The sequence below is a fragment of the Homo sapiens genome, chromosome 5, assembly GCF_000001405.40.
Source record: "Homo sapiens chromosome 5, GRCh38.p14 Primary Assembly".
NCBI classification, from domain to species: domain Eukaryota; kingdom Metazoa; phylum Chordata; class Mammalia; order Primates; family Hominidae; genus Homo; species Homo sapiens.
Window position 1 is genome coordinate 117,442,366 of NC_000005.10, and position 12,559 is coordinate 117,454,924.

The 12,559-nt window shown below is 33.4% G+C and overlaps 1 long non-coding RNA gene across 1 annotated transcript in view, besides 1 other annotated feature; it reads left to right on the plus strand.

Moving 5' to 3' along the window:
- Positions 1-12,559, plus strand: part of LINC00992 (long intergenic non-protein coding RNA 992) — a 164,233-nt gene that overhangs the window by 26,854 nt on the left and 124,820 nt on the right. The gene's annotated exons all lie outside the window — the stretch shown is intronic.
- Positions 12,243-12,412: an enhancer, noted in NCBI's record as "active region_22954". NCBI's record gives its function as "activates an Ori minimal core promoter by ATAC-STARR-seq in GM12878 lymphoblastoid cells {active_cell/tissue: GM12878}" and the evidence as "EXISTENCE:reporter gene assay evidence [ECO:0000049][PMID:35858748]".

Consider the following 12,559-nt stretch of genomic DNA (forward strand, 5'->3'; position numbering starts at 1 on the left):
GAGGAAGACCAGTTTCAGAGAATATAAGGTAGGAAGATGATTTAAAAAGCAATGACTATGGACCAATCAGACGAGAACAATCAGAGATGAAAAAAATAATTTCTGAAAATGTATCGGGTAGCTTATGAAGCTAAGATCATGAGATGACACCTAGGGCAGAGCCTAATTTTCTCACGTAAGTCTCTATAACCTCTCAGATACGTATATGCACTAAAGACATGCAAGTGCAGTTGAGAGGGCAAATTAGTTTTCTGCAATGCTGTCCTAATATGTTCAGACACATATTTCATAGCAATTCTCATACCCATGTGAGAATGTGTTAATTACAACAATGTTTATGGTGGTCAGGTGTTACAGACAATTTGGGTGACAGCACCAGAAAATGTGAGTAAACATAAGTAAATGTATACCATGATAAATCTTTCAGTGATTCAAACAGTGAATTAGATATATTTATGGCAAAATGGATATATAAATAAATATATGTAATATTTACATATATTATATATATCCTTCCTGATATTGGTCAATCTACCTAAAGTTATAACAATTTCATCAAAATTTAAAAAAAATCTGCATTTATTTGCTTTTTCTTTAGTTTTCTCTCTTTTTAAATTAACTTTTGCCTTTACATTTATTATTTACTTTCTTCTACTTGCTTTGAGATTTTCTTCTTTATCCAGTTTATTATATTAGAAGCTAATATCACTATTTGAGACTTTTCTTATAAGTATTTAATGCTATAAATTTCTTTCAAAACATTGTTTTAGCTGTATTTCACAAACTTTGATATATCATTAGCATTTTTATTTAGTTCAAAATGTTGTGTAATTTAATTTGCCTTTGCTTTCTTTAAAACATGGGCTACATAGAAATGTGTTTACTTTGTAATTACTTGAGAATTTCCCATACATATTGCTGTTTTTATATATATATATTTGATATATAAATATATGTGATATATATAAGATATATATGTTAATATATAGTTTAGTTCTATTATGGTCAGAAAATACATGTTTTATAATTTCAACTCTTTTAAATTTATTGATTTTGCTCTGTGGCTCAAATTATAATTTCTCTTGTTAAATGTTTCATGTCCACTTGAAACTAATGTCCATTCTGCTGTTGTTAAGTTGAAAGTTCTTTAAATATCAATTAGTTGATTTTACTCCCTGGTAAAATTTCTTGTTTTGAATTATACTTTGGATCATATTTACATGGCCACTACAGTTTCCTTTTCATTATTATTTTAATGGTGTATCTTTTCCCATCCTTTTGCTTTTTCTATATGTGTCTTTACATATATATTTTGTAAACAGCATGCAATTCAGTATGGCTTTGTTATCCAAACTGATAATCTTTGTCTTTTTATTGGAGTGTTTAAAACAATTACATTTAAAATAATCATTGATATGTTTGGGTTCAAATATTTCTTTTTACTTTTTTTTCAATTTGTAATATCTGTTCTTTGTTCTAATTTTCCTCTTTCCATGTCTTCTTGGATTATTTTTATTGTTTCATGTTATCTCCACTAATTATTTATTGGTTACACTTATTTTTTCTCCTTTTGTTTTAGTGATTGTTATAGGGTTTTATATACCTATGTCTCTCTCTCTCTTTCTCTCTGTGTGTATGTGTATTTAGCTTATAATGGTCTACCTTCAAATAATATTATACTACATTACATGTAGTATAACAACATAGAATATACATTCATTTTCCCCCCATCTTGCTTTGTGCTATTTATGTCATTCATTTTACTTCTACATATATTATAACTCCCAAAATATATGTTGTTATTTTGGTTTACACATTTGACTTTTAAAGAGATTTAAAATAAGGAAAAATATAGTTTATACATTTTCTTACATTGCTATACCTCTTTTTTTGTGTATTTATAAATGTATCTGTTATATTATTTCTGCTTAAATAACTGCTTTTAATGTTTATTTTAAACTTTTGGTTTGGCTGTTTTTCTTTCAGTACTATATATTACCTCATTTTCTTTGGACTGCATACTTTTAAATGATATATCTGATATAATTGTTACCTCTGTTCCCTTATATAAGGTGTGTTTCTAGCTTGTCCAACCTTTACTACTTTTTACTCATCTTTGGTTTTCAGCAGGTTGACTATGATATGCCTATGTATGTTATTCTTTATATTTATCCAGTTTCGAGTTCTCTGAATTTATTAGAGCTGTAGTTTATTTAGTCTTTCATTAATTTCGTAAAGTTCTCACCCATTATCTTTTCAAATGCTTCTACAGCCCTATTCTCTTTGTTTCTCTCATCTAAGGCTGGGCGTCCAATTACACATATATTAGATCATTTATTAATGGTCTTGGATATTTTATTTTTTCACTATATTTCATTCTCTCTCTCTCTACACACACACAGTTACACACACATTATATTTTGGAAAACTTTAATCAAAATATATTCTAATTCACAGTTAACTTTCTGTAATGCCTTTAGTCTGCAAATAAGCATGTGAAAAAATTTTTCAACTTTCATATCATGTTTTCTTAATCTGTCATTTCACAGGATTTCCTTTATAGTTTCTATCTTACTGCTAAAATTCTTCATCTGTTCCACACCGTTCTTATTTTCCATAGATTAATGAACATATTCATTATAATTATTTAAAAGTCCTAGTCAAATAGTTTCAAAATATGTTTCATTTCTGAGTCTGGTTCTGTTGACTGCTTTCTCCCTTGATGATGAGTTCTTTTTTTCATGCTTATTCATGTCTCTTGTGATTTTTAAAATTAGATTTAGGTATTGTATGCAAAAGAACAACGGAGACTAAAGTAAACAGCATTAACTCCTGGGAATTGGTATGCTTCTGCTTCTATCAGGTTGTCTCGGGGATTGAGACTTCTATTAGTCTCTTTAACTCTGAGTCTCAGAGAATGTGGAGAGAGCCTATTCTCAGTATTTTTGTCTTTTCCTACACAGCAACAAAACTGCCTTTCATAGTTAAGAAGTCTTGTCCAGGTGGTCTTGAACATAAGCAGTTTTTTTTCACTTCTCTTCCAGTAGCAACAGCATCGCGCTTTGTATTTGTGTAGGAGCCTTGAAACAACAGAGAATTTATCCTTTCTCCAGCAGCAGCCAACCTTTGCTTGGGATAAAAAGAAGAAAGATTTACTCTAAAAGACAGACAGGTTTTCCTTTATTTTTTCTCCAGAGTCAGCTTACCTATTTCTGGAATCTAAGCTGAAAGTTTTCTTGCCCCTTACCTGGAGGAAGACAGTTTTTGCTTTATATGAGAGAAGAGTTAATTGTGGGTTTCATACCTGTTCTATAGAAAGAAGCAACTTACCTCAATGTTTCATCATTAAGGGAGACTTTCTCAGGTGGCCTTTTTTGATTCTACTCTTTCTCATGGACACCTGGTGGAGGCTCATGAGAAAGTTCTGGCAAGTGGGTGAAGACTACTTTTGTATTTAGAACTCCCAAGAATATTAACCTGTGCCACTAGCCCACACTCTCTGTTTATGTGTTTGTTAACACTGAAGATTTTTTCTTCTTATTCACTTCAATGAGTGTCATCTCTGTTTGATGTGCTTTGCCGGGGCAAGATACTTAGCGTGGCCTGTCCTGTCTTTCCTTAGAGGAATTTGTTACACTTTGAAAATCAAAGTACCTCATTGCCTTGGGATTTCAACTCATTGAAGAATTGAAAAGCAAGCAAACAAGCAGGCAAACAAATGAAACCCCAATAACTCTGGTTCTGTATATTTTCTTTGTTTTACTTATTGTTGGGTGGGATCAACGTTCTCTTATGGCTTTCTGGATTCTTAACAGAAGTAAAACTCTGATTGGTCTTTAAGAATAAACCTTAGTGAAAAAAATGAGAACTATAATGACATATATAATAGCATTTAAGTAAATTAAAATATCTTCACATTATACAATTTGCATTTTCTAAAAGAATTTCAAATAAAATTAAATACATTATAATTGTTGCCTGAGGAAGAAGCAAAGGAAAGTGATATATATTAACATAAATGAATGAATTAAAGATAAATGAATAAAGCAAGAAAGGAAACTTTCATTAAACAAAGTTGATTAAGTGCAATAGACAGTATGATAAACTCTGTCCTTTGTACTTGAAATCCAAAAGGTATTGATAAACAAACAACCAAACACAAAAGATTGGATATATGACATTATCTTTTTCCACTTGTATTGCAATGCTGTGCATATATATCATCTTGGATCCCTCAATATGCTGCTTATAAAGCTTATTTTACTTTAATAATAAATGTATTATGAAATATAAAATTTGACTCCATTGCATTACTGTAAATATTTTAGTGGTTTTTTTGTGAGTATATGTAGCTAATTGGAGGATGAAATACAATGTTTTAAGCAAGTGTGATTAACATAATAAAGCACATGAATTACTATATTTTTGTGAAAAGAATAAAACAAAATACTATGAACATACATCATGGAGGAAATATTTTATTTGTTAATATCGTGTTTACTTCTTTAATGGAAATAATTTTAGTTCTGTGTATCCATTTGAAATAAAGTCAATAGGCAAAGTGATTTGTCTAGGCTGTGAACGATTTGTGGTACCTTGGGACAGATATTTTGCCAATTATGAGCCTCAATGTTTTTTATCAGACTCACGAGGTAATTAGATTTTAAGGTCACTTCCAAATCTCATAATAAAGAATAGCCTACAATAGATAGCAAGTCTTGGAAAATGTTTGGATAAGATACCAGAGAGTACAGCCTAAGACAGGACACCTTGATAAAAGAAAATGAGAGAGAACTTTGTAGGTTGAGATTTATCAAGGTAGTTAAAAAAATAAAAACAAACTAGTAGAATAGTAAAAGTAGGAGCAACTTTCACTGACTGTAAGTAGCATCATGTAGTAAGCTTTGAGTAATATTGAATAAAATCTTAATTCAATTCCACTGTCTTGTGCCTACACATACATCTCTGTATGAGTCTTGTTGGCTGTGCAGATTTAGAAAATTGATAGTTCTACCTCAAAACCACTATGAGTATTCTAAATAGGATTTAGATTCCTCTCTAATTTAGCTTGGTTTTTCATCAAAAGCAGAGACTGTAAAGGATTTGTACATAGGTGGTTTATTTAGAAAGCAATGGAACCTCAATTTAGAGAGCTAAGTGAGTTTCCAGCAAGAGTGGACAGCAAAGGAAAAAGAGTCCACCCAAACTACATTATCGGATTGCTCAGTGGATGCATCAGTTGGAGATAGATCTCTTGAAGTCCTTTAGGGGAGTAAATAAAATGTTTCTCAAATTTTCCACAAAAGATCTCTAAGCAAAAAGCACATGACACACCTATCTTGAAATGCAAGTAATATCTTATACTCTTGAGCTGTGTGTGTATGCATGCCATACAGTCTCTCAACACTGCTCCATATCAGGACTTAGAAAAGCCCAGGAAGAAAGAAAAACTCATGCAGAGACTGTTTGAACCAAGGCACTGTCAATATACCTAAGTCCAGTCTTACCAGAAGCTATTTACAGAACAAGGTGAGTCTGAGAGGATGATGTGGGGTGGTGTGGAAAAGGGTCTGATATACCTGAAGCTTTGGCATGGCAAGTAAGTTATTAAATTCCCTCCGTCTGGGATTGGTAAGACAGTCCTTCAGTGTGATTCACAGAAGAATTTGCTTCTTATCTTCTCCTGGCTAAACTTAAGACTGAGCTTAAATCTCAGACCATTGGCAGAGTATCTGCCTAATCTTTCAATATACTCAAGGATCGGCACGGGGATGTTGGGATGGAACATTTTTCTATGTACATTTAAGTTTCATGGAAAAAAACTAACACATATTTTGTGTGTGATTTTTACATAGGGCAACGATTATTCTGAGTTAAGTACTTTTTGAAATAAGAAACAATATTTTTATTAATTTACACTTAAGAAATAATTTCTCCTGCTGTTTCTTGTGCTTTCTTCACTCTATTGGCAGAGGTTTTCTGTGCCTTTGAAAAGCTTTCCAAGTGCTAGAGTTGCTTCATTCAAAGTTTGCTTTCTCAAAGTTCCAATAAACCTAAAACCGTATTATTTTCATAGTGGAAAACTCAATGTGCTAGTTTTCAATCAGAATATATATTTTTTAAATTTCTGGTTGCTTTGTTTCACTTTACTTAGCTTCACAACATAAAAATAAAGAATTAGAAGTGTTTATTTTCTCTTCAATAAACATATATCTTGAACAATAGTATTAGTTATCAAAAGTGACTTTCACCTCCAGATGAAAGATACATTGTTTAAAGAAAGGAAAAGTATGGAAATTTCCACAGAACTACTTTTCAAAATTACTGTTTTATTCATTTTGATATATTTAGAAAAATGGGAAAATAAGTCATTTTGAAGTGGTAATAAGATATAATCTTTAACAAAAGAAAGTTTAGGGACATACTACTAAGAAAAAAATAATAGCTTTGTCATCAGTAAGAGAGATGTCACTGGGTGACTATGAGAAGACTGGAGGTAAAGTGGAAATGCAAAAAGTTGAAGGAAGCCAGCTGAGAGGTTAGATTTAGATCATAAAATTCTGAGAAAAATAGATGAAGCTTGGTGAAATCTCAAATACATTTTTATTAGTAAAACAATTACAATCCCACTTTCTTACCAAGTATTAAAGGTACTTGAAACTTCTAATTCAAAAGATCAAAGAGAGTGGATGCAATGCATTCATATTGTTCTTTTAGTATAGTTTTATGTTTCTCATGGACTATAAACATTTTTACTTTCTTTCATAATTTGTGCTGCACAGTTTCCTCTCAGCGTGAAATCAAATACCATTTCCTTACTTTTTGGTAGACCTTTATAAAACGATTACACTATAAACCAATCAACAAAAGATGACATTTAAAATAGCCATCTACCTTTTGGCATTGTCTACTGTAAAATTAAAAAAAAAAAGATTGAAGCAGTGTTTGCCTCCCAACTGTCCTTGCCGTCACAGAGGACATGGAAAACCCAAATCAGAGGGCTAACAGTGCCACTGTTGAATTCCATGTCCTTTAACTCCTTACACAAGTAAGTGCTCAACATACCAATGACTTTTTCTAACCCAAACTATTGTAAAGTTGCTATTTTGTTAATCTGGAATGCATTTTCCTGTGGAAACAATATCATAAACTAAATGGAGTCCCAGATATACCTGTTGAAGTAGTTTTAGTATTCATTTAACAACTAGAATATTAATTGGGACAGTGCTGTTGCTGAGTCTTACATTGACTTTGGGGAAAGGATAAGGAGAGATATACAGTCAAGTAGAAAAAAGAGGAAGAGATAGTCTCCCTATTATGGGTTCAGGCTAAATCATGGGAAGATGTCAAAATAAGGCATTTGAAATAAAGAGGAACATTCTCTCTTGGCTTTTCAGTTCAGAACTCATGCTCTAAGTCTCCCTTAGTTGGCATCTCAGATAGGTGTAAAGAGGGAAGGCATCTTATTCAGTCTTGATGGTTATGACTGATGCATCACCTTTTTAATTCTGTCAAAAGGTTAAAAAAGAATATTAATAAAATAATCTGTAACTACCATGCATGGCAGACCATGTCAGCCTTTATCCCAAATCCATTTTACTTCTTATCTGGGCATTTTTTTTTTTTTTTTTTTTTTTTTTTACTTTCTTATCTGGACAAGAAGGAGTGATGAACTCCTCCTTCTTGAAGGCAAAGTTCACATCGCTTCACTTAGCAAAACATCACCATATTCTGAGCTCCCAAATCATTTGGCTGTTCGTTGATGAAGCCAAGGTTCTTTATATTTAATAAAGCAGGAGTAGAAGGAAGACAGGTAAGGAGAGAAGGGAAAGGAGGAGAAAGACAATAAAGGGAGAGAAGGAGAGGAGAAGAAAAAGAAGAGCAAAAATGTTTTATGCTTTCTTTCTTTTATATTCACAAGGTATGACCCATATCCAATAATATTTGGTACTTTCAAATCTTATTTGGAATATTTGGTACTTCCTTGTAATAAATTTTATTCTTTTAAAAACTAATAGGACTTAATATTTAGAGAGTTAATTTTTGAAATTTAATATTAACCTAATGCATATTTTGATTAAATAAAATAAATTATTCCCTACAAGAAAGTCCCTTTGGGGAGTTTATTGTCTTTATATTTTGCATTCTATTCACATGTTTTCTTACACAGTATCTGTGGTGTGATTTTTATTTTATGGAAGGAGTGGCTAAGAAATGGTCTGCACACAGGTCAGTTCAGAATTCCCACTACTCCACATTTATCCAAACAGCCAATTCATAACAAGTGTTATGAACGAGAGTTACATTTAGCGACATAGAAACACACTTCCAGTTATAAAAGTCATTTCTTCCCTTCTTTCTTTTTCTTTTCTTTCTCTTTCTTCCTTCCTTCCTTCCTTATTTTCTTTCTTTCTTTCTTTGCTTTCTTTCTTCTCCTTCCTCCTTCCCTCCCTCCTTTCTTTCTTTCTTTCTTTCTCTTTTTCTTTCTTTCTTTCTCTTTCTTTCTTTCTTTCTTTCTTTCTTTCTTTCTTTCTTCTCCTTCCTCCCTCCCTCCCTCTCTCTCTCTCTCTGTCTCTCTCTCTTTCTTTCTTCCTTTCACCACATTTTGACAGTAACATCAGCCCTATGTCAAACATGAGACAGGCTGGACCAAGGTCAGGTTCAGGAAAAGTAGACAGAGTACACTATGAATTATCTGTTTTTCTTGAAGTTGTGTGTATGTGAAATGCATTAAAGTAAATATATGTTATTATTTGATTTAAATATTAAATGTACCATGTGCATTATAGGGTTTATTTATTCTAGAAATTAAATTCTGGCTTACATACTTCAGAAACAGCATTTCTTCAACGAATTCCATCACATTTGTCCCAAATTCAAAAAAATTTCCTTTTCACAGATTTTTGCAATTTTTTTACCCATTATCTCTCATAGTAGTATATGATTTTCTAGAGGGCAAAAGTATTTTTTATCGTCTTTGCACTTTGCTGTCGTTAGCAAGGATCTTAGTGTAAGACAGGTGTTCAATAAATATTGAATGATTGAGTGGAAATTGTCCAAATGTTCTGCTTTCTGTAGAATGTTTTTATCCTTTACTTTTTACATCTCAGATCCTCTAATAGTTTCTATTATTAAATTATTAACTCAATTAAACATTAGCTCCCTTGGGGCCACAGAAAGGGCTTCTCCTCTATATCTACAAGGTCAGCAAGAGCAATCACTTGTAAATTAGCTGTAATGGGATGTGATTGCTGATGTTTCTCTGTACTTATAAATCTCATTTCTTATTTTGCAGGCAAGTTCCTAATGGATAATATGATGTAACTTTGGTGATTTTGTGATTTTGACACCTATAGTAATTGTTTCGAGGGAACTAAAAACCTCATAACAGATAATCTTTACAAAAAGCAAAGAATCATGTCTCTATCTATAGTCTGCTTTTTACAATAGATCTGTATAGTTGGAGCCTACATTTTATACCAAGTATTCATAACTCTAGATATACTTATTGTTCAATTGACACCTTCATCAAATATTTTTCTACTGCTTTCAAAAGTCTAAATTACAGATAAACAATAGTTTTTACATGGAGCTTAGTAAACTGAAAGTAAACTTCTTAAAATAAGTTTTAGATTTACCTCATTCCCATCTTCTCGTAAAATATATCACTCTGTCTAGAAGAATGGGAAAAATGGATAACCACAGAAAAGGAGTTTTTGGTTGAGGATTCTAGCGATAAGGATATTGGTCTTCCAGCTTCTGTTGAACCCTCTGGTCTGGCAAAAGCCACTCTTTCCCCTTGCCAGACATGAGCAGCCTCATCCCAGCAGTCTTTACAAAAGCCCCATTTGAGGAACATAGCTCAGAAGATAGCATCTTTTCTCCTCAAGATGCTCCCCAACCATTTTTATTGTCTCTAGGTGGATAAGCAGAGTCCACTTTCAGCATAAGCCATTCAGAAAAGTGTAATCTGTGGTCTGGAGGAAATAGATCATACCTAGAAGAAATTTTAGGAGTTCACTAATACACACTAGCCCACCTGGATGTGGGGGAATATGTGTGGAAGGAGTACTGGACTGTAGACTTATGCAGGATTTATCAAAATGTAGTCTGGGGTCAGTAGCATTGCATCACCTACAAACTTGCTAAAAATGCATTTTTGGGCCCTATCTCAGACCTACTGAATCAGAAATTGTGGGGATGGCACCCAGCAATCTGTGTTGCAACAAGCCCCCCAGGTGCTTCTGATGCCTGCAACAATTGGAAAACCACTTCTCGCATGCATCACTTTACATCATTTGTAGCTTCACTATGCCTTGTTACAGCTACTATTGTGGTCACCTGCTCTGCATGGGCTCCAACAAATGCAGCCTAACAGTACCATGCCTCATGCATGTGCCCTGAACCTCTTGCCTCCTGCCCTACGGCTATCTTTGGATGCCAAAGGCACAAAATGCTGTGGGATTTAGTTTACTACCATATATATGCAATGTGGAAGTATGAAAATTTTCCAGTTTCCCCAGAGACAATCTTTGACACATGGGAGACACTGGGGAAAACATTTTTTATCACTTTTTCCCTCTGGATAGACTGTTTTGAAATACAGTTTATATGTTTTCTTAGAGAATGCTTCTTAGAGATCAGGCAATCACCACTAATTCAATAGCACATTTTTGTAGTATACTCTACTTTTTAAATACTCTTTCTCTCCCTTTGTCTCTCAGGTCAGCTCTCTGGGATTACATTTCCTAAAACAGTAGTAGCTCATAAGCCTTTGCCTCAATCTCCAATTTCTGGGGAAACCAGGCTAAGACAAAAGATGCCCAGTACGTGAGATTCATTGCAGTATCATTGTGGCAGTTCTGATGTGTACTTTCTACGTAGAAAATAATATGCAAAATTCATATTTTTATAAAATGTTATAATAAAAATTGTTACATTTAACATATTAAATAATAAAGTAAATGCCTGAGAGCAAACTAAGACATTTAATATATGCATTAAGTTTCTAATCATTATTTTTAGGCAATTCTACTGGGTACCCAATGAGGTTTTATTGTACCACTTATTTATTTATTTATTTAATTTTTATAGATTTTAGGAGCACGCATGCATTTTTGTTACATGGATATATTGCGAGCAGTGAAGTCTGAGTTTTAGTGTAACCATCACCCAAATAATGTACATTGTACTCATTAGGTATTTTTTCATCCCTTACCCCTCTCCCACTGTCCCGCCTTTTGTAGTCTCCCAAGTCTATTATTCCACTCTGTATGTCCACATGTATACGTCGTTTAGCTCTTATTTATAAGCGAGAGCATGTGGTATTTAACTTTTTGTTTCTGAGTTATTTCACTTAAGATAATAGGCTTCGGTTCCATCCATGTTGCAACAAAGGATGTAATTTCATTATTTTGTATGGCGGAGTAGTATTCTATGGTATGTATATACCACAGTTTCTCTATCCAATAATCTGTCAATGGACACTTAGGTCAATTTCACATCTTGGCTAATGTGGACAGTGCTCTGAAAAACATAGAAGTGCAGGTATCTTTTTGATATATTAAGCTCTTTTCCTTTGGGCAGATAACCAATAGTGGGATTGTTGGATTTAAGGATAGTTCAAATATTACTTATTTGGGAAGTTTCTACACTGTTTTTCGTAGAGGTTGTAATAATTTACATTCATACCAACATTGTGTAAAGCATTCCCTTTTCTCTGCATCCTCTCCAACATCTGCTATTTTTTGACTTTTTAATAAAAGCCATTCTGATTAGTGTGAGATGATATCTCAGTGTGGTTTTAATTTGCATTTCTCTGATGGTTAGTGATGTTGAGCATTTTTTTCATGTCTGTTGGCTGCTTGTATGTCTTCTTTTAGAAAGTGTCTGTTAATTTCCTTTGCTCACTTCTTAATGGAGTTTTTTTATTGTTTAAGTTACTTGTACATTTCTGATATTAGCCTTTTGTGGGATGCATAGTTTGCAAATTCTTTCTCCCACTCTGTAGGTTGTCTGTTTACAGTGTTGAGTATTTATTTTGCTGTGCAGAAGCTTTTCAGTTTAATTAAGTCCCATTTGTCTTTTCTTGTTTTTGTTGCATTTGCTTTTGAGGTCTTAGTCATAAATTATTTGCCCAGGCCAATGTCCAGAAGAGTTTTTCTTAGGTTTTCTTCTAGAATTTTTATAGATTGAGGTCTTACTTTTAAGTCCTGATATGGCTTGGCTGTGTCCCCACCCATGTCTCATCTTGAAATGTAGCTCCCATAATTCCCACGTGTCATGGGAGGGACCCAGTAGGAGGTAACTGAATCATGCGGGCAAGGTCTTTTCCTTGGTGTGGTGAATTTCTCAAATGGTGGTTGTAGTAGTGACATACTGGGCACGTGAGTAAATGCTCAGTCTCCTATAGAGACAGGCAGGTGGAGGCCTCAAGAAGCTTATCTCATTTCCATGCGCTGTGCTCTGGAGTCAGATTTTGTATCGGGTTGTGCAGTTCAACCTCCCGGCCAGTAGGTGGCACTAGTAAGTAAGAACTGGCTGTGGCAGAAACAGGTAA